The sequence below is a fragment of the Homo sapiens genome, chromosome 10 (genome assembly GCF_000001405.40).
Source record: "Homo sapiens chromosome 10, GRCh38.p14 Primary Assembly".
In the NCBI taxonomy this organism is placed as follows: Eukaryota; Metazoa; Chordata; class Mammalia; order Primates; family Hominidae; genus Homo; species Homo sapiens.
The window spans coordinates 95,541,942-95,563,320 of record NC_000010.11 but is presented as its reverse complement, the minus strand read 5'-3'; the positions used below and the strand labels follow the sequence as shown (position 1 = coordinate 95,563,320).

General features: G+C 47.7%; 1 protein-coding gene across 76 annotated transcripts in view, besides 5 other annotated features; it reads left to right on the top strand.

Annotated features, from left to right (window-relative positions):
* Positions 1,601-1,970: a silencer, noted in NCBI's record as "silent region_2648". NCBI's record gives its function as "represses an Ori minimal core promoter by ATAC-STARR-seq in GM12878 lymphoblastoid cells {active_cell/tissue: GM12878}" and the evidence as "EXISTENCE:reporter gene assay evidence [ECO:0000049][PMID:35858748]".
* Positions 1,601-2,367: a biological region, named in NCBI's record as "H3K27ac-H3K4me1 hESC enhancer GRCh37_chr10:97320711-97321473".
* Positions 1,605-2,367: an enhancer, noted in NCBI's record as "H3K27ac-H3K4me1 hESC enhancer chr10:97320711-97321473 (GRCh37/hg19 assembly coordinates)". NCBI's record gives its function as "activates a minimal SCP1, AML or CMV promoter by ChIP-STARR-seq in naive H9 embryonic stem cells {active_cell/tissue: H9 hESC(naive)}" and the evidence as "EXISTENCE:reporter gene assay evidence [ECO:0000049][PMID:30033119]".
* Positions 1,950-21,379, top strand: part of SORBS1 (sorbin and SH3 domain containing 1) — a 249,599-nt gene continuing 230,169 nt past the window's right edge. For all 76 annotated transcript variants that reach the window (NM_001384455.1, NM_006434.4, NM_001034957.3 and 73 more), the window contains exon 1: positions 1,950-2,001. The gene's annotated coding sequence lies outside the window, so the exon portion shown is untranslated. The remainder of the gene's footprint in view (positions 2,002-21,379) is intronic.
* Positions 2,011-2,120: a silencer, noted in NCBI's record as "silent region_2647". NCBI's record gives its function as "represses an Ori minimal core promoter by ATAC-STARR-seq in GM12878 lymphoblastoid cells {active_cell/tissue: GM12878}" and the evidence as "EXISTENCE:reporter gene assay evidence [ECO:0000049][PMID:35858748]".
* Positions 10,664-11,598: an enhancer, noted in NCBI's record as "H3K27ac-H3K4me1 hESC enhancer chr10:97311480-97312414 (GRCh37/hg19 assembly coordinates)". NCBI's record gives its function as "activates a minimal SCP1, AML or CMV promoter by ChIP-STARR-seq in naive H9 embryonic stem cells {active_cell/tissue: H9 hESC(naive)}" and the evidence as "EXISTENCE:reporter gene assay evidence [ECO:0000049][PMID:30033119]".

Genomic DNA, 21,379 nt, shown 5'->3' with positions numbered 1-21,379 from the left:
TCTTTATGTGTCAATAAACCTCTTCATTTTTTGTAGCTATTAATATATGATATTCTGTCATATGGTTGTACTATTATTAACCAATGCACTCAAATTGGATATTTGGATTGTTTTGATTTTTTTTTTTTTTGGCTATTCTAAAATGGTGTTGCCCTGAATTTGCTGGGTAAGTAACTAGTCTCTCTACCCTTTGTTATACACCTCTGTGGATAACCTCAGGATAACGACACTATTCCCACCTGGGGTCGTGTGGTGGATGTGAGTTAACGCATGTAAAGCTCTTAGCACAAGTATAGTACGGTGCATAGCAGCCTAGACGTGCTCAATAAATACTAGCTGTTTTATTACTTTATAGCCCAGAGAGAGCTGTCTTACACAGATTGTGGAGTAAATAAATAGGAGAGCCGGGGAAGTGTTCTTTGAAAAGCTGCAGGATGAGGTGCAGATAGGGGAAGGCCGTGGGCTGGGGGCTCCCTAGGTTGAGTAGTTCCCCAGTGTTTTCTCATTTATAGAGTAAGCTTCCAGATGGCTAGGACTCTTCTTTTTTTTTTTAATACACAGCAGAGGACACCAGGTGGTCACCAAAGACTTGTCACCGTTCCCTGACATCTAAGAATCTTTGCTGATGAGTTTCCGATCAGTCTGTGCAGTTATCAAGGCCAGTCTTTACCCTGCCACCCACAGCCTGTTCACTGAGAATGTGCTCTGGCTGAAGATGCTTGCAAGGGCAGCTGACAAAAATCAGTTGTGCTCAGCCCAAAGGGCGAGTGTCTTATCTTCAGGGATGTGGGAAGCTGGGCATGGAGGGAGCAAGTTCCAGACCAGTACTTGCTGGCTCTGCGACCTTGGGCCAGCAGATTCCCCACTCTGATCCCTGTCTCTGTTTCCTTTTCTGTAACTCTGAGGGGGACTAGAGGAGGTCAGGAGAATGGCATAGCACAGTGGTTAGCTCTGAACCCCATCTAACACGGTGCCTTCCCCCCACTTGCAATGACCTTGTTGCATTGTATGCACTCTACTTTTCACATTGTAGAGGATCTTATTTATTTACTTGTCTCCACTAAAATGGAAGCTTCCTAAGGGAAAAGGCCTTGCCTGTCTTGTTCTCTGCAGTTAACACTGGGGTCCAGCACTGCCACAGAGCCTCTAAATATATGTGTGTTGCATGAGTGAAATCTCAGAGCCTGGGTTCAAATCCTGGTTGCACCACTTGCTGTGTGACCTCGGACAAGCCACTTAAACTACACCTCAGTTTTCCTGCATAAAAATAGTAATTATTTTCAGTTTTCTCACTAGAAAAATATGGATTAGTAATCGTTCCTCTCTTATCAGGCTAAGAGGATCAAATGAGGAAATATCCGGGAAGCATTAAGCACACTGGCTGGTACAGAGCACACGAATGACAACAGCAAACGTTTATGTAGCACGACGGCCAGGAACTGATCAAAATGCATCACCTATGTTAACTATGTTAATCTTCACTAGATTTTACGAAGTCGGACTATTATGCCATTTTACAGATGGGTAAACTGAGGCCCAGGAGTTAAATAACTTATCACTGTTATTTTACGTCTAAGGTTCCTTCCAAGCTCCCCGTGGGCGACCCTTCCGAAGGACCAGAAGGCGCGCCAGGCCAGCGTCCGGCCCGGCCAGGACGGAAAGGGTTACTAGGCCCGCGCGCCCGTTACCGGCGGAGGCCGGCGGGCTCACAATGCCAGGAGCCGGGCGCCGGACACTTCTTCGCCTCCCATCCGCGCACACGCCCCTTCCTGTCACGGCTGGGCCCGGCCCCGCCCCCGGCACCGCCCGCTGGCCGGGCGCTGCCAGAGTGGACGGTTCCAGAGGCATGCTAATGAGGGGGCGGGCACCGCAGCCCATTGGTTGTCCGCGGAGTGTCGGTGAAGTCAGCGCTGAGTCCCAGAAAAACAGAGCGGGGCCAGCTGCAGCGTGTAGTGCGAGTGGGGCGGACGCGCGCAGCCCGCCCGCCCGGCGACCAGCAAGGTAAGCCCGCGCTCGCCCGCCCGGCCGCGCTTGCCCGCTCGGCGGCGGCAGCGCCGGGGGTGTGCGCGGCTCGGCCCCCGCGGGCGGCGCCTTTGTTCCGCGCTCGGAGGAGGCGCATTTAAAGGGCCAGCTGTTGGAGGGACTTGGGGGACCCCCTCCCCCAGAGCATCCCCCCATGGGCACAGGGAAAGCGGTGGTCCCTCGCGGCCGAACCGTCCATCCTGCCTGCTCGGCGAATCCCCAGTCTTTCAAGGAAAGTTCCCCAGGGTGCGGAGGATCTGGGGGCTTCCAGGGTTGGGGGTTTTTAAATTTCCTTTTTTGGTGGGTGTGGGGTAGTACGATCATGGCCTCTGCTAGGAGAGAATGTCCGCCCGTCTCAGGGTGGCTGCAATTTGGGTGGGTGGAGGAGACATCAAAGCCCGAATGGGTTTGTGCTGTAAAGTGAAACTACCGAGGAGGGGCACCTCTGCAGCAGCCAGAGGAAGGCGGAGGGAGCGAGCGGCGGGATGGAGGCATCTCAGGTGTGTTCATTCATCAGCATCCCCTGGAGAGGGCGGCGGGAGGGGCGCAAGGACGACGCGGTTGGCCGGACCCGCCTGAATGAACGGGGACTAGTATGCGCCGGGGACACGGCGCCTGCCCGTGCCGCCCGTGCCCCTTCTTCTCCCCGAGTGGCTGACAGCATCTTGCTAGGCAGCTCATCACCGACATGGACAGCAAGCAACTCCTTTCTCCGAATTCCCCGGGCATCCCCTGCTACCACCTCGCTGCTTTCCGATGTGGCTTCCTTGATACGTGGTAGCGCCATTCAAGATAGAGGGGAAAGAGGCTTGAAGTCATTATGTTTCCTTCATGGGGGAATGTGCTGTCGAATTCTGCATCCCCATGCATCCGCTGTCGTAAGATGGCTTTGAAATTCACCAGTGCATGCTTTCTCCAGGCAGACAAGAATTTATTACGCTATTACATTGCTACGTAAAAGCAGAAGGGATCCCACTGAGCATGGCTCGTTTTGTTCAGTCCTCGGTTTTTCCCAGCATGTTCTGGGCGAGCCTTTGGATTTTTGTTTTAAACACTGAGCGTTGGGATGCCCCTGTTGTCACAGGGCCGACCTGCTGAAATTGCTGGAATTGGTTTCATCGTCAATAGGAGGGAGGTTCATCTAGAGACATCATGGAACCTATCTGGCGTGTCAGGCCTCTGACTCCATCTCTCCCCTCAACACCCCCCCCCCCGCCCAGCCCCCCGCGCCCTTTTTTCCTCTTAAGTGGAGGCGGGGGATGGATTGGCTGTCTTCACTCTCCTTGTGTTTTGAGCTCCTCTGCTTAGATTCAATTCTGTGGTTTTGGTTGGAAAGGTATCTTGGTGGTGATCGAAGAGAGGAGGGTTGGATTAAAAGTGGGGTGGACACAGAGGGGTCAGCAGCATCAATGACAGAAGACAGATGATGGACATATCTACAGCCTTCAGACACCGATGAGGCAGATGGCTGTCTACAGAGTGAGGGGCGTGTGTTTGGGCTGTGAGGGGGAGGGGTGGAGGAGGAGGATGCCTCCAGCAGTTTTCTGCCCCGCCCTCTGGATGCTGCCTTAAATAGCCCCTTGCCAACCAAGCTCTGATGTCTCTTTCTTGGCCTGAGGGGAAAGAAGGGAAGGGTTGGTCTGTTGGCACCTTTGCCCAAGGCACTGTTGGAGCAGATGGTTAGGAAAGGGTTAGTTCTCCAGGGGTTGCAGAGAGCACATTTCTCAGCTGGAGGGCCCTGAGACCACTCCTTTGGCGACTTCCCTGCAGGGAATTAGCAACTGAAATGAACTGCTGTCTACCCTGTGGGGTAAAGAGTTGGGAGGGTATTGTCATCTTGTGGACGATACCCGCCTTGTTGGCCTTTTCCTTCTCCTACCTGCTTTCATTTGTTGTAGTTGGAGAGTTTCTGTATACTTTTCGGAAGAGATTGGGCATATTGGGGAGTGGGTAGGAGTTATGGGAAAGGATGAGCAAATTCTTCCTGGCAGAACAAAGCACTGTTCAGCTGTTCCTCTCTTTCCCCTTCTCTAAAATAAGAGTTCAATACAGATAGCAGAGTCTAGGGTTTTCTTTGTAAACAATGAAAGGGCAGGGCCAGGAAAGAAAGTTTTTATTGTGCAGCATTGATAATGATCAGGTCATCCTAACTTATCTCCAGACCCTTCCCTGGATGTGGAGATAGATTTGCTGTAGAGGGCACTCTATGGTAATTTAGGATTTGACCTGTCTCTAGGAGAAAGGCATGGATGGTCTCAAAAAGCTTTGGTGGAGAAGCTCTGGACCAGAGGCAGGACAGCTAGCTTTGGTCCTGGCCACCAATCTTTGGGCTTTGGGCTAGTGGCTTCTGCTCTCTGGGCCTGTGTCCTTGCTGGTGAAGTGGAGGATGATAGGGCAGAAGGTCTTCCAGGGTTCCTGACAACTCCACTGTTCTTAGAGTCACAGTTTGTGATGGCATTTTCAGGTTCTTTCCTGTTTGCTAAATTGATAATAAATTCAAAGTATTGCACAATGGCATAGAAGAAGCATTCTAGGATGCAGGCTTCTGTTGGATTCACATCTACCTTTTCCTTGATTAGTGTGATTTGTGAGGTTTTACTGTAAGTATGTAAACAATTCAGAGCTAGAACGGTCCAGAGTGAGAGGCACAGACCCCAGAGTGAGTGGTTGTGGGAGATGAGGGTGGGATGATAGATTGCTGAGGAAAGGGAGTTTCTGTAATTTGTTCTCTTTCCCTGTGGATGTTTAACTTGCTGGTTTATTCATGGTTACACAGGTGAACGTTTACCTATCTAGAAGATGAGAGTTATAAAAGACCTCTGTGATTGCCATGTTCCTCCCCCTTCCCCGCCAAACTGAGGAATTTGAGGGGTTGGGAGGTTTGGCCATTTTTCCAAGGTTGCACAGCTAGCAAGATGTGGAGCTGGGGTGGGAACTCGGGGGGATAGATTGTAGATCTTGTTTCCAGATGTATCTGGGTTTTTTTGTTTTTTGGTGGTGGTGGTTGTTTTGAGACAGGGTCTCACCTGTCACCCAGGCTGGAGTGCAGTGGCACAATCATGGCTCACTGCAGCCTCGACCTCCTGGGCCCAGGCAGTCCTCCTACCTCAGCCTCCCGAGTAGCTGGGACCACAGGCACGCACTACCACACCCAGCTAATTTTTGTACTTTTTGTAGAGACAGAGTTTTGCGGTGTTGCCCAGGCTGGTCTCAAACTCCTGGACTCAAGCGATCCGCCTGCATTGGCCTTCCAGCATGCTGGGGTTATAGGCTTGAGCCACGGTGCCCGGCCTATATGTATCTGTTAAGCCCCCTCTTCCTCTGAGAGAAATGATTCTAAGATGGAATAGCGAAACATGAGGAGGAAATAGGAGCACAAGAAGAGAGAGATTGGAGAAACAGACGAGAAAGTAGGAGGCTGGGGACAGATTATGTGGGGAAGGGAAAAACACAGAAACCAAGCTTGGAGGAGAAAAGGATGGAGCTTGAAAGGGGGAGGCTCTATTGTCTCTGAAACAGCTGAGCTCTTCTGCAGCCCTTGGGGTGAAGTGAGGGGAGGTTTGGTAGCCTAGGATGGGGGGTGGGGGGGTGGACTGAGAGTTCAACCTCAGCCTGAGACTGTCTTGGAATCTCCTTGGGATTGCTCCTGTTGACCCTCAGATTGCAAAGTGTCATGGAGGCTGCTTAGTTTCAGGACCAACTGAGGCCTTTAGATCCACGGGAGCATGCAGAATGTGGACATGTGGGAAGTCAGGTGTGCGGGTGGTGATGCTGGCTGATGCTGAGGTGGGACTCAGTTCTGCTGAAGTCCCGGTTTTTTTGTAAATGCAAAACTCAGAACACTTTTCCATGGATTTCGTTTCAGTGCAAGCAGCATTTTCTCCTTGGATTTTCATCGGTGCTTTGAATGTTTTATGAGATAGTGTTTCGAATACTCCCTTTTCAGAGGAGATACTTGGAGATGAATGATTTACTGAATTGTAGCTCATTTGGGGGAGCTTCTGGCTTGTGACCTAAGCTAAGCCTCAGAATGTTTCAATGAGCAATTAAAGAGCTGTGAACAGTGGTTGACCAGAGCACTAACCATTCAAAGGCAAGGATAAAAGGTGATAATAGTTCAAGGTCTGGAGCTACAGCCAACAGCTGGCCATGAACAATGTAACTGACTTTGGCTAACTCTTCAAGCCCTAGAAAGTGTCTCTGTGGGTCCTTTGGTGGCTCCCCCTTTTTGTGTGCGGTTAGGCATGTGGACCCGTCCCTGAATCTTGCTGTCTCCCATTCTTCTTTTGCTACATCTCCCTCCACTATCCATTTCTTTTTCTTACCTCTTTCTCCTTGCCCTCCTCCCTCATTCTTTCTTTATTATCAACAATATATCTTTGTAGTTTCTTTTAATCTATTGCCATTAAAATTTCATGTTCTCTGTTCTTCATTTCAAATCAGTCGAGGGCCAGGCAAGGTAGCTCATGCCTGTTATCCGAGCACTTTGGGAGGCTGAAGCAGGTGGATCACCTGACGTCAGGAGTTCAAGACCAGCCTGGTCAACATGGTGAAACCCCGTCTCTACTAAAAATACAAAAATTTAGCCGGGTGTGGTGGCAGGCACCTGTAGTCCCAGCTACTCGGGAAGCTGAGGCAGGAGAATGGCATGAACCTGGGAGGCGGAGCTTGCAGTGAGCCAAGATCGCGCCACTGCACCCCAGCCTGGGCGACATAGCAAGACTCCGTCTCAAAAAAAAAAAAAAAAAAAAAAGACAAAAATTAGCTGGGTGTGGTGATGGGTGCCTGTAATCCCAGCTACTCAGGAGGCTGAGGCAGAAAGAATTGCTTGAGCCTGGGAGGTGGAGGTTGCAGTGAGCCGAGATTGTACCACTGCACTCCAGCCTGGGGGACAGAGTGAGACTCCATCCAAATAAATAAATAAATAAAATCAGTTGAATTCAGTCTTTTTTGAATGTGTATGTGTTTTACACACAAAACAAAAAAGAGGCAAATGAACCAAATCCAACTAAATTGCTTTTTACTTCTGTGTGGCCTTCCATTGATTTATCCCCCCACTTCTTCTGTGGTCAGCAGTGGCTTTTTATAGAAAAAAAAGTTCCCAGGTCTCTGTCATGCGGTTATTGTTTTCACAACAATAGAAAAAAGTTTCCACCCTTGTATTGTGGACCACAAGGGACACCCTCTCTCAAGGGATGTACCCTGTTTCTAGACTTCCTTCCATGGAAAAAGTGTCTTTAATGCATTCTGTAACAGAGGCCTGTACTGTAAGGGGTTAGGGGTGCTGATAGTGGAGGTGGGGCTCTTCTCAGTGACTGCGGTACTGCTTAGAATAGGGGCTGGCGGGCTATGGCCTAGAGAGTATATCTAGGAAGAATTAGCATCGTTGTTTTCTCTGTTTCCTCAGGCTGAGCTAACCTAACTGGCTGTAGCAGGACCCAGACCCTTTTGGAAAAGAATGAGATGCTTGTTAACTTTCTGATTAGTGTTGAGTGGGACCCAAGGTATGTCTTCTGCCCACCTTGGGAGGGTGGGCACCCACCGACAGTTGCTGGTGTAAAGTTCCCGGATTCTTTGATGGATGGATGCTGTACCGCTTTATGATTTTCTTCTGACTCTAATTAGTTACAGAGAGGATTGACTCTTGATGCTCAGTGGTCAGCAAGTACTTTAGTATCTAAAGTGGGCCTTGCAAACAAGAAGTCACCTTGTCACATTAGGTTTGTATTCTCTGTAATATATGTGTACTGGTTTTAGTATAAAAGTATTTAAGTTGCTTTACTGTTGAATACAATTGACGTTCTACGAAAATGTGTTTATTGTGGGCCCTCATTTGTACCAGCCCTCTGTAAATATGCATATCAGTCTCATACCCCAACTGGAGAAGCCGGGGATAGGGTAGGCATCAAACCTGCTGGTGCTGAGAACCACCCCTCCATGCTTTCCTGCTGGCTCTGCCAAACCACCAGATGCCCGGTCATTCCCTACTCCACGTCCCCAAAGGCCAGGCCCCCCTGCACCCCCCACCAGGACTGGTTCCCTCACCAGAAGGCCTTTTTCTGCGTTTCCTGGCTGATGCCTTCTCCCCTCAGACTCCCCTCACATCTTAAAGAGATGCCTTTCAGCTGGGCGCGGTAGCTGTAATCCCAGCACTTTGGGAGGCCGAGGCAGGTGGATCACCTGAGGTCAGGAGTTCGCGACCAGCCTGGCCAACATGGTGAAACCTCCTCTCTACTAAAAGTACAAAAAATTAGCCGGGCGTGGTGGCGCATGCCTGTAGTCCCAGCTACTCAGGAGGCTTAGGCAGGAGAGTCACTTGAACCCGGAAGGTAGAGGTTGCAGTGAGCCGAGATCACGCCATTGCACTCCAGCCTGGGTAACAAGAGCGAAACTCCATCTCAAAAAAAAAAAAAACAAACAAAAAAAGAGATGCCTTTCTTCTTGTGTTCAGCTTTCTACTTCTGTTGATATTGCTGGTTCCCTTGTCTGTTTCCTCCCCCATATTGTGAGTTCTGGGAATAGAGTGAGTCTGTGTTTCTTCTCTTTTTAAATTAAATTTTAATTTGTATAAAACTTTCGCGTGTGTGTGTGTGTGTGTGTGTGTGTACACAGAGAGTTTCTTTTTTGTTTGTTTTGAGACAGAGTCTCCCTCTGTTGCTTAGGCTGGAGTGCAGTGGCATGATCTCAGCTCACTGCAACCTCTACCTCCCGGGTTCAAGCGATTCTCCTGCCTCAGCCTCCCTAGTATCTGGGACTACAGGAGACCACCACCCCCCCAGCTAATTTTTTTATTATTAGTAGAGACAGGGTTTCACAGTGTTGGCCAGGCTGGTCTCGAACTCCTGACCTCAAGTGATCTGCCTGTCTTGGCCTCCCTAAGTGCTGGGATTACAGGCCTGAGCCACTGTGCACCCCCACCCCGCACAGAGTTTTGAAAGACAAATAGGCTGGGTGTGGTGGCTCACGCCTGTAATCCCAGCACTTTGGGAGGCTGAGGTGGGCGGATCACCTGAGGTCAGGAGTTTGAGACCAGCCTGGCCAACATGGCAAAATCCCATCTCTACTAAAAAAATACAAAAATTAGCCAGTCACGGTGGCGGGCGCCTGTAATCCCAGTTAATCTGGAGGCTGAGGCAGGAGAATCACTTGAACCAGGGAGGCGGAAGTTGCAGCGAGCTGAGATTGTGCCACTGCACTCCAGCCTGGGCAACAGAGCCAGACTCCCTCTCAAAAAAAAAAAAAAAAAAAAGTCAATACTACTAGAAAAATATAAAGGCTGCCTGGGCGCAGTGGCTCATTCCTGTAATCGTAGCAGTTTGGGAGGCTGAGGCCGGCGGATCACTTAAGGCCAGGAGTTCAAGATCAGCCTGGCCAACATAGTAAAACCTTATCTCTGCAAAAAATACAAAGAATTAGCCAGGCATGGCAGTTAGGATATAGACATCCTTGAGGGGCTGCTGTTACTCTGTTTACAACAGTTACTTCTAATGCACTGAGCTGTTTCTCCTGATATTACTATCATATTTATTGTTACCTGCTTACAATGCTGTTTTCTGATTGTCCATTTTAGATGTTATTTTTATTTTTCCTTATTTTTCTTTTTGTAGAGACAGGGTCTTGCTATGTTGAGACCCTGCTTGAGGCCAGGGTGGACTTTAACTCCTGGCCTGAAGCACTCCTCCTACCTGGGCCTCCTAAAGTTCTGGGATTACAGGTGTGAGTCACCATGCCCAGCTTAGAGGTTACTTTTAGATGTTATGTCTTGATGTCTTACTATGGATTAGATCCTCTCCTCTGCCCCCCAATACTTCCCTTTCTCCCTATCCTCTCATTATAGATATATCACAGTTTTTGATTACATTGATATTTGGTGCTTACATTATTTTGGCTGTGTAAATAGTGTTCATGACAGAGCCATATAGTATACTATAATATTTTCTTTCTTGTACATTTTTTGAGTTAATAATTATCTTACATTTTCTATTTACTTAGTTTCTATGTACTTATTGCTAATTCTCAAAGTATTTGACAGCATCTTAAGACATTTGTTTTATAACATGTGTTCCTATTTATTTATTTATTTATTGAGATAGGGCCTTGCTCTGTCCACCAGGCTAGAGTGCAGAGGTGCGATTGTAGCTCATTGCAGCCTTGACCTCCTGGGCTCAAGTGATCCTCCTGCCTCAGCCTCCTGAGTAGCTAGGACTACAGGCACCACCATGTCCAGCTAATTTTTAAAGTTTTTTGGTAGAGATGGGGTTTCACTACATTGCCTAGGCTGGTCTCTAACTCCTGCCCTCAAACAATCCTCCCTCCTCAACTTCTCAAAGTGCTAGGATTACAGGCATGAGCCACCGTGCCTGCGCTTGTTCCTTTTTATTTTATTACTGTTTTTTTTTTTTTACGCCCGCTTGGAGACTTCCCTCCTATAGGCCTCCATTCTGTCTCCTTTGTTCTTGCCCATTGACCTCTAGGCCTGTGGCATGACTCATCCTGGGAATTCCCTCACCTTATCCTGGGTGGGATCCTGTTTCCTTTGTTGATTTATTCTTCCACAAGTTTCTGAGAGAGGGTCTGTGGAAGTTGATCACTTTAAGCTTACAGGTCTGAAAATGTTCATATTCTACATTCATATTCGATTGGTGATTTGATTCATCTAGAATTTGAAGTCGAAAGCCATTTCCCTTAGAATTTTGAAGCCATCATTCCACTGTCATCTAGGTTCTAATATTGGTATCAAAATTCGGATACCATTCTGATTCTTGATCATTTATGGATAACCTGATTTCTCACTGAAAGTTTTTGGGATCTTCTCTCTTTTCCTGTATTTGAAATCTCCTTGCTTTAAAAATGATTGGCCTGGGTCTTTGGTGTGGGCCTTTTTTTTTTTTTTTTTTGAGATGGAGTCTCACTCTGTTGCCCAGGCTGGAGTGCAGTGGTGCAATCTCGGCTCACTGCAACCTCCGCCTCCCGGGTTCAAGCGATTCTCGTGCCTTAGCCTCCCAAGTATCTGGGATTACAGGCGCATGCCACCACGCCCAGCTAATTTTTGCATTGTTAGTAGAGATGGGGGTTTCACCACGTTGGCCAGGCTGGTCTCAAATTCCAGACCTCAGGTGATCCACCCGCCACGGGCTCCCAAAATGCTGGGATTACGGGTGTGAGCCACTGCGTCCAGCCGGTGTGTGCCTTTTTGATCTGAAGATTGACGTCTTTCAGTTTGGGGAAATTTTCTTAATTAGATATATTTTAATAATTTCATTTTCTCCATTTTCTGTGTTTTGTCTTTGGCATGCCTATTAGCTGAATGTTGGACTTCCTGGAGCAAGTTTATAATTTTAAAACATTTTATTTCCTTTTTTCATTTTATTATATTTTTGTCTTTCAGAGAGCTATCTTCAGCTTTATCTTCAACTCTTTTCCATTTTTAACTGTGCTTTCATGTGTTTACGTGGAACATATTTGCATGTTTTACTTTGTAAGAGCTCCCTAGTTCTCTGAATACTTGCTTTTCTTTTTTAGATGACATTCTATTCTTGTTTCATGGGTACAGTAAATTCCTTTATATTAAGGGTTTTGTTTGTTTGTTTTTGTTTTTTTTATGGTTTTCTGCTGTTCCCTGCTGTCCCTTGGAAGATGTTGTTTCTTCCAAGTCCCTTTTTCCATTTGTTTTGGTTACTGTATCTTCCATTGCAGCTATCCTTCCATGCATGCTGATCCTTGACTGTCTATGTATATTTTAAGAATGGACACCGAAATGCTGATTGGGCATCAGTGCCACAAGGAAGGGAGTCGTTAACTTCATTGTAGAGTGACCCAGCAGAGAGCCCCCTTTTTCTCTACTGGAGCAGCCTAGATATCAGCGCCGGTAGATCTTTTTCCTGGGGCTTTCCTGGATAGGGCTTTCTTGGAGAGGATTTTACCTGGGTGTGGGGTAGGGTGGGGTGGGGTGGTAAACAGCCTGGCCTTCCTGCATTCTGGGAGCCTCCATGGGGAAAGGGGCTAGGTATTAGTCTGTTTGATATGCAGACTTTCACTCAATCCCTGGGTCTTTTGAAAGTTGCCCCCACCTGCCATCCCTCTCTCCCATCTCTCTACCTCCCTCAGCTGTGTCCCTCCCTTGGCTGTATCTCTGGTGTAAGTTACCTGATCAGTGGATCTCCACCTTCTGCTAGCTGAGGCAGGGAAATCACCAGGCTGAGCAGACTGCAAGAGGGACCCTGGGTCTGACTGCTCTTTGTACCAACTTGCAGGCAGGCACCCTTCTTTTTAGCTTTACCCTGCTTTTCCCTTTAGAGTCCTTGGTGCCTCCACTTCCTGAACTGTCTTTGTGTTCTGTGCCATGAGTTGGGCACTTGTTTAGTGGCTCCTGCTCTGCTTGCACTTAGCAGAGCAGACAATGCGGAAACCTAAATCAGCTACTGCATGGTGGTCAGCTCTCCACTGCTGTTGACATATCTCATCTGCTGGGGTCTCTTTTTTCATTAAGAAATGCATCCGTCTACTGTCCTTTTAGTGGGAGTCCAGAAGAGAGCAGAGATAAACATGGGTGTTCAGCTCTCTGATTTGACCAAAAGTTTGTTTCATTTCTTCATTCACACACTTAAATTTGTGCCTGATATAGAGTATATTCTCAAGAAGTGTTTGTTAAATGATTGAAAGCCCGTTCCTAGGATGATATGCGTACATTTAGTCATCAGATTTCAAGACACCCAAACATACAGTGTTGCAAAAATAAATCCGTCGCTTATTCTGAGATAGACATAATAATAGGCAGCAGATCCTGCCTATTCTCCCCATGCAGTGGAGGATAAGACGCACTGGGAGGGAGACAGTGTTACAGAGTGTTGCTGTCTTCAGCCCTGTCAGTAACTACCTGAGTCACTTTGAGAAGTCCCTTAACCTATCTGGGCCTTGGTTTTCCCAGCCTTAAAATGAGATGTTGGTCAAGGTTTGATTCAGTTCTCTGCATTGAGCACCTGCTGTGTGCAAGCCACGGTGCTAGGATTCTCTACGTGTCTCTTCTAAGGCAGCCACTGTGGTGTTTTGTATGTATGTTTGTTTTGGCATGGGCCACACTGAGTTGATTGTGTTTGGTTTATATGTCTTTCTCCTGGCTTAGTTCAGTGCCTTGTACAAAGTAAGTCCTCTGCACATTTTGACTCTCCCTTTTTCTAAACCGAGGGCTCCTTGTGAGTATCACGTCGCCATCCTCTGTATCTCCTGTGTCTATCACAGTTGTTGGTACATAGGAGGTATGTAGGAAATATGAAAATGTGAGTTGTTCTGCCAGAATCCCCAGACCCTGCTTGGAGAACAAGCCTAGCTTGTTGAGGGCCTAGCTGCACGTTCCCTGGCCCACTTATGGAGTTGGGGGACTCAAATGCATTGGTATTAAAATCAATGGAGACAGCAATTCTGGACCACAGCCTTGACACTAGAGGATTGTTTTCTCCCAAACAGATAGTAGTCATATATTCATTTCAAACAGCACAGTGGAGCGGAGAAAGACTTGTTACCAGTTAAGATCAGATTCATCTTAACCATGAAAATGAATTATAGATGTATCCCTGCATTCAGGTGTTTAAAAACATTTAAGTGTTTTTTCATAACTTCTTTTGGTTTTCCCACACTTCTGAGTTTATGTGCCAGGACTAGTAACTAGAAATTTTAGGGATATTGATTTAGCTCAGTGGAAGATATTTTTTATTGTAAGAGCAACTCCCTACCAGACTGCATTAGGAAGCCCTGAATTCTGTGTCAAGCCAAGGCTAAATGTCCACTCTCCAGGGAACATGAAGAATCAATGCCTGTGTGGGAGATGAGGTACTATTAGAGCACCTGAAAAGTCCTTTGCTTTTGATTTGTTCATCAAATAGTTATTGAGCACCGGTTATAGACCAGCGTCCATGCTGGGCTCTGGGAATATAGCAGCGAACAAAGAGAAATGGCACCTTCCCTCTTGGAATTTATAGACTAGAGCTGAGCTGTCCAGTATAGTAGCTAGTAGCCACATGTGGCTATTGAAATTAATTAGATTGAAATACCGTTAAAAATTCAGCTTCTCGGTCATGCTAGCCACAAATGCTCTGTAGGCACGTGTGGCTAGTGACTGCCCTACGGTCGGCATGGGCAGTTGTAGAGTGTTTCTGTAATCTCAGGAGGAACTCTTAGGCAGGCTGATCATAGAGCTAAGATTCTGTGTTTCTAGACCCGACATTTATGATTAGCATTTCATGGTGGAGGCAACTGAGGCACAGAAAAGCCATTTGTTTAAGACTGAGCTAGGAACAGGTCTCTTATCTTTGAGTGTGGCTCTTCTCTCCCTGAGGTGAGGTAGGGCAACTGAGAGTATAGTCTTTGCACTCAGGCTGCCTGGGTTCAAATCCTGGCTTTGCTACTTCCTAGATTTAGGTCTTAGGGCAAGTCACTGCCCTGTGCCTCAGTTGTATCACCTGTGAAATGGAGGAAGTAATAGCACCTATCTCACAGGATTGCAGGGAGGATTAGATGACCCAGTCATTCAAGTCTTTAGAACTATGGGCTGGGCCTGGTGGCTCACACCTGTAATCCCAGCACTTTGGGAGGTCGAGGTGGGAGAGTCAGTTGAGCCTAGGAGTTCGAGACCAGCCTGGGCAACATAGGGAGACCCCCATCTCTACAAAAACTTGAAAAATTAGCTGGGTGTGGTGGTGCAAGCCTGTAGTCCCAGCTACTTGGAAGGCTGAGGTGGGAGGATCTCTTGAGCCTGGGAGGTTGAGCCTGCAGTGAGCCAAGATCACAGTACTATACCACTCCAGCCTGGGCAACAGAGCAAGACTCCAACTCAAAAAAAAAAAAAAAAAAAAAAGGAAAGAAAAGAACTATGCATGACACATAAGTAGTAATAATTCAGTAAATTCTGGTTACTATTATTGAGACTGAGAAGGGGACAGAAGATAGTGGGAGAGCCAAGGAGGCATTTTCAAACAGCAGAGTGGAGTGGAGAAAGACTGTTAGGAAAGGCTATGCTTGTAGAGCTGACTGACCACCTGGGGAGGGATACGTAATGGAATGTTTCTCAGCCAGGGGCTGCTTTAGTCATGTGAGCTGATGTGAAAATGCCAGTATGTCCATGAAGTCCTCTGAGTGTCACAACTGGTCACTGGTCCTCTGAATAAGGATCCTTTCAGTATCTCCTTTCTCCTGGCTTGCCTGCACATAGGCTGGTCCCCACACCCCTTTCCCCTGTCCCCATGCATTTCTTCTCCCCTCACTACATCTCCATCATGGAATGGGTGGGACATTTACCATCACCCCTGTGGAGCAGCGGGCTGCATCGAAGGAATGCAGAAGAGAGCAGGGACAGAAGCCCAGCTGGGCCCTGGTATTTTCTTGGAGGTTTGCATCTCTTGTTGGTGTCATTCCCTCTGTTGCTCAGTCTTTCACAGTGTTTTAGGGGTGCCCCATTTTGCTGCATGAGGAGAAAGAGAGCTCTGATGTTAGCCCCAGGGATGGGAGGGTGCCCCATTGGGTAGGTAAATCTCTGCTTATATGTGGAACTTTGGCTTAAGAAATACTTTATTTATTTATTTTTTGAGATGGCATTTTGCTCTTGTCACCTATGCTGGCATGCAATGGCGCGATCTCGGCTCACTGCAACCTCTGCTTCCCGGGTTCAACCTCAGCCTTTTGAGTAGTTGGGCTTATAGGTGCCCGCCACCACACCCGGCTAATTTTTTGTATTTTTAGTAGAGATGGGGTTTCACCATGTTGGCCATGCTGGTCTTGGTCTCCTGACCTCAGGTGATACACCCCCTCGGCCTCCCAAAGTGCTGGGATTATAGGTATGAGCCACTGTGCTCAGCCAAGAAGTAGTTTAACAGAGCAGTCTCATCAACACTGTAGACATGGGCCCCACCCTGCAGGTGTTTATTTCTTCATGAACACCCAGAGGGCAGGGCTCTTGTCTTCCACAACAGACATCAACAGTGCATTTCAGGCTATGAAATAGGAAGGTTCTAGTATGATACAGTGCGTGTGGAGGTGCAGGTAGTGAGGGTGCTCTAGAGGTACATAATGGATGTGGCACCTTGCCTCAGCCAGGGGAGGCACACAGGGAAAGTACTATAATAGGCCAGTGATGTATCTGAGGTCAGGTGTCTAGTAGTGGCAGACCCTGAGCTGACCTGTGAGGAGACTGTTCCTAGCAAGCCTGATTCTCAGCATGGCATAGAAATACAGGTTCTCCCTGAGTACCAGTGATCAGGAGTATTGAGTGCTTGGCCGGGTGCGGTGGCTTACGCCTATAATCCTGGCACTTTGGGAGGCTGAGGTGAATGGATCACCTGAACTCAGGAGTTTGAGACCAGCCTGGGCAATATGGTGAAACCCTTTCTCTAATAAAATTTAAAAAATTTGCAGGTGTGGTGGCACGCGCCTGTAGTCCCAGCTGTTCGGGAGGCTGAGGGATGAGAATCGCTTGAACCCAGGAGGCAGATGTTGCAGTGAGCAGAGATCATGCCACTGCACTCTAGCCTGGGCGACAGAGCAAGACTCTGTCTCAAAAACAAACAAAAAAAGAAGTATTGAGTGCTTGAGGCTTCACCTATGGTACAGTTTGGATGTGTGTCCCCACTCAAATCTCATATTGAAACATAATTCCTAATGTTGGAGGGGGGCCTGGTGGGAGGGGATTGGATTGTAGGGGCAGTTTCTCATGAGTGGTTTAGTATCATCCTGTTGGTACTGTCCTCATGATAGTGAGTGAGTTCTTGTGAGACCTGGTCATTTAACAGTGTGCAGCCCCTCCCTCTTTGCTCTTTTGCTCCTGCCCTGGCCATGTGACATGCCTGCTCCATGCCTGCTCCTCCTTCACCTTCTGCCTTGATTGTCAGTTTCCTGAGGCCTCCCTAGAAGCCGAGCAGATGCCAGCATCATGCTTCCTGTACAGCCTGCAGAACCATGAACCAATTAAACCTCTCTTGTTTATAAATTACCTAGTCTCAGGTATTTCTTTATAGCAATGCAAGAAAGGACTGATACAGCCTGTAACTGGCTTTGCCAATCCATTCTTGTTTGGGCCTTGATGTTCCATCATCTTGGGTGGTGGTCTAGCTTATAACAGTTATGATAGGAATGGGTGCTTAGTAGATCCCGGAATTGTTCTTCTGTTTGCATGTCAGTGTGAAAGCTCATTACACATTTATATAATAGCTTATGCATTGATCATTAACATCAACCTGTGGGCTGACCTCGGTTTCCTAGTATGAAAGGCCACTAGGACATACCTTGTGAAATTCAGTTTCTCTTATTGCCTGGAGTCTGTGTGGAACCTGGTGGCTGAGCATATGAGCAGTATGTCTGATGTGTAAAAAGATAATTCATTTGCATATTGCTTTTCTCCACTTAGAATTTATCTTCAGTTGGGGCAGATCCAGTGTTGGGTGACTGTTTCCTGTGAGCATGGAATTATGGCCAGGGGTTGTAATTGCTTATAACAAATTGACAGGGAGGAAAATGGGACTGTTTGCCTGGTACGTTGATGTAAGGGAGTCTTTCCAGTGCTGCTGTAAGATATACAGTGCTGAGTCTTCTGGGCTTGGGCCTTTGTTTCTCTCCCTTTTTTTTTTTTTTCAAGATGGAGTTTCACTCTGCCACCCAGGCTGGAGTACAGTGGCATGATCTTGGCTCACTGTAGCCTCCGCCTCCTGGGTTCAAGCGATTCTCCTGCCTCAGCCTCCTGAGTAGCTGGGACTACAGGCGCCTGCCAACACTCCCGGCTACTTTTTTTGTTTTTAATAGAGGCAGGGTTTCACCATGTTGACCAGGCTGGTCTCGAACTCCTGATCTGCCCACCTCGGCCTTCCGAAGTGCTGGGATTATAGGTGTGAGCGACCACAGGGCCTTTCTTTGTAGACAGTGCACACAGGAGGCTGGCGATAGGAGACTGGGCAGAGTCTAGAAGCCAGGGATGAGGTAAGAAAGGCTGGAACTGGAGCTGGGAGATCTGAGTTGCTGCCCCAGTGGCCTTGCCAGTGGGGAATCTGGGTGGAGAGGTGAGGCAGGAGTGGGAACTGCTTTTAAGCAGGACAAAGTGAATAGAGGCTCTGGAGAAGGAAAGCAAAATCCCAACAGGGACAGAAATGAGAGTAGCTGGAGAAAGCTGGAGCTTGGGAGAGCTGAGGGCCTAAGCAGGGTTTGGTGGTTGCTGAAAATCAAGTTGCCAGGCCCATGAACCGAGGCCAAGGCAATGTTAGGCCTTTTAGGACTATTTTGTGTTTGCTTTGCAGGGCCTCTATGTTGGACGTGGTACATTAGTGAGCCAGCAATGGCAGGTGTGAGGGGGCGAGGCCCCCTAGGAACTGGGAAATATTAGTCATGCCTGAGCACTGTTAGAAGATACGGCTTCTCATCAAGACAGCTGCTCCGGGAGGAGGGTCTGCAGCCGCCAGCCTGCATTACAGTTTATGTTCTTGGTTTTGTCTTTAATTATTAAAGGCACGGGCTATTTAAATACTCACCTGAAGCATCATTGTGAGTAATTTTCCCTTCCTGGGGTCAAAGGAGCTCCAGCAGGGAAGGGGTTTGGTGGCCTATGGTTCTGGGTTCTCCAGGTGCTTCCCTCAAGGAATGCAAGGATGTCATGAGGACGTTGTAAGATGCCCTTGACAGTAGGGTGCAGACCTCCCTGGGCTGTCTTGCAGATTGGCATTTATTTTGAGTGAGTCCTTAATTTGAGGAGTATAGGGTGTTCCCTTTTATCATAGGCAAGGAAGAAACAGTGCTGTTAGAAGATGTAAAATATTTAACACTCTCTTTAAAAAATTAACTGTCCAGGAACCTTTGATTGCTGGTGCCTATGGCAACATGCATGGTTTTCAGGAGTGTCTTCTCGGAGTCCCTGGGCTCCTCAGAAGGGGTGATATGGGGGTCCATGGGTTAGGGGTGATGTGAGGGTCCAGTCTTGGGAGGGCTGGCTGGGAGGCCAAGAGCCCACCTGTTCTGCTTGGCTTAGAGGCTGGGCAGTAGCAGGGCTGAGCCACTGCCTCAGAGGGTGGTAGTCGGGGGTGGTCTGTTTTGACAAGTGGAGAGGAGTGAAGGGGAGAAGGAGAGCTCGCCATCCTTCTTGGGCTTGCTGAGTTTATGCATTTGTTTTGTTTTACTGGCCTCTGTTAGTCCCTGGTGCCTACCGTTCTCCGTCCAGCCTCAGGACTTTTGCGCATGTGGTTTCCTTAGCCTGGAATGTAAAGGGAGCCTTCCTTCCTGACCTGGTTCGTGCCTCTTACCCCTCAGATCTCACCTGGAGCGTCATGTTCTGGGGAAATTATCTCTGGCCCTGCTTCCTAGGTGACACTCTCCTGTTTGAGGGCTCTTATGGTTCGGTGGTCTTTGTTACACTTTTTTGGAAAATCATTGTTTGCCCACCCTACCAGCCTGTAGGGTTATGACAACAGTGGCCAGGGCTCTTTCTTGTCACCAGTATGTCCCCAGTACCTAGCACGGGCCTGGCCTACAGAGGGGCCCCACTATCTGTTAAGTAAATTAATTCATTTTTTCATTTATTATGTTTTGGGTTCGGTAGAGATCCTGGGAATACAACGAGAATGAAACACCCCTGCTGTCCTCACCGAGCTCCTAAACTAGAGCAGTAGATAAGCAGTGCTCAAGATAGCCATTGAGGGCAGGAAGAAAGCTTTATCAGTTGGAGTTCTGTTTATGCTTTAACTAAAGGAAAGACTTAGCTTTCCTATTTATAGGAGTACAGATTTATAATTACTTTGTAAGTATCCTCAAAACTATTTCACAAATAGGAAGGTGTGATCAAAAAGTTTGGAGACTACTGGTCTGAAGGGAGAGGTAGGAAAATGAAAGGGTTTTTTTGTTTGTTTGTTTTTTGTTTTGTTTTGTTTTGTTTTTTGAGACAGAGTTTCTCTCTTGTTGCCCAGGCTGGAGTACAATGGTGCGATCTTAGCTCACTGCAACCTTCGCCTCCCAGGTTCAAGTGATTCTCCTGGCTCAGCCTCCTGAGTAGCTAGGATTATAGTCGAAAGGGTTTTTATGCCAAAGTGTGATGAACAATATGTTAGGGCAAGTACAGGGTGCCATGAGGGCATGTGGGTTGGGGGGTGAGCTGGAATCCAACCAGAGGACAGAGGGACCGGCACATGCAAGGGCAGGCTTAGTGGATTGGGAGAAGGGCACATACTTTAGTAAGGCAGGAGGAGGGCTTGCTACTGGGATTGGGAGGGGTTAAGAGTTAGGATTACTAAGAGAGATGAGACTGGGCCCCTGCCTGCAGCATGGGCATAGTCTAGCAGTGGTGCAAATGTGCCTTAGGAGAGACACAGCATGAGGAATACTTGGCATTCAGAAGAGGGTATATATTTTGCTTAGCAGGGATCGGGCCTGGTCATGCTTTAAAAATGGAACATGCTCAAGATCACAGAGGCCCCTCTCTTCATTGTAGAAGGGGAAGAGGAGGGTGCTGGAGGTTGACTTCAAGGCTCTTTAAAGCCCATCTCAGGAGAATGACATTCTCCTTGGTCTCCTGCTACCCAGTGGGATTTTTATCCTAATGTGATTTAGACCCCTCCTCAGGTTTTATTCTGCAGGTTACAACATTGTATAGGAACAAGAAAATGGCGTATGGTATATGTAAATAAGCATATTTGGTGTGTTTACTTACCTGTGTAATCACGCACACTCCCTTCTTTTCTTTGTTTGTTTTCAAGTCCCAGGGCTTGAAGTAATTACGTAATTAGAATCCACAAAGAGTATGGCGAGATAAGGTGTAATTAAAGAGGAAAGCCTAATTTTGGAAGAATGATAAGAGGTCATTTGACTCAGTCTGGGCCCAAATCCAATCTTGGAAGAACAGTGAGAGGTCATTTGGATGTAGGCAGCTTGAGGCCACCCAGGAGCCCAGACTGGCCTCAGAATTGGACAGATTCTGTTTCAGTTCACTGTGAAAGCCACTCATTGAGCATCCTCTTGGTATAGGGTATTGTGGGAGGCCCAGCTATGAGTAAGGAACAGAAGTCCTAGATCTCAGGGAGGACATGGGGAAATAGGGCCTGAGAGTAAAGTGGAGAGATGGCTCCTGGGGACAGGGTGGGGGGCGGTGTGGGGAAGGATTCACAGAACAGGTAGCATTTAACTTGTGCTTTGAAATGTAAGGAGGGTTTCAAGAACATGGACAAGAACTTTCTGGGTCTATTGGAGACACTCAGATAATATTTGTGGGATGAATGCCAGGCTGAGGTTGGAGGCAGAAGGAACATGGCCATATTGGTGGATGGTCATTTTGCAGTTTGGTGATGAGGTCAAGCTTGTACAGCTCAGACAGTGTAGTGACAACTCACAGCCAGGAGGCCAA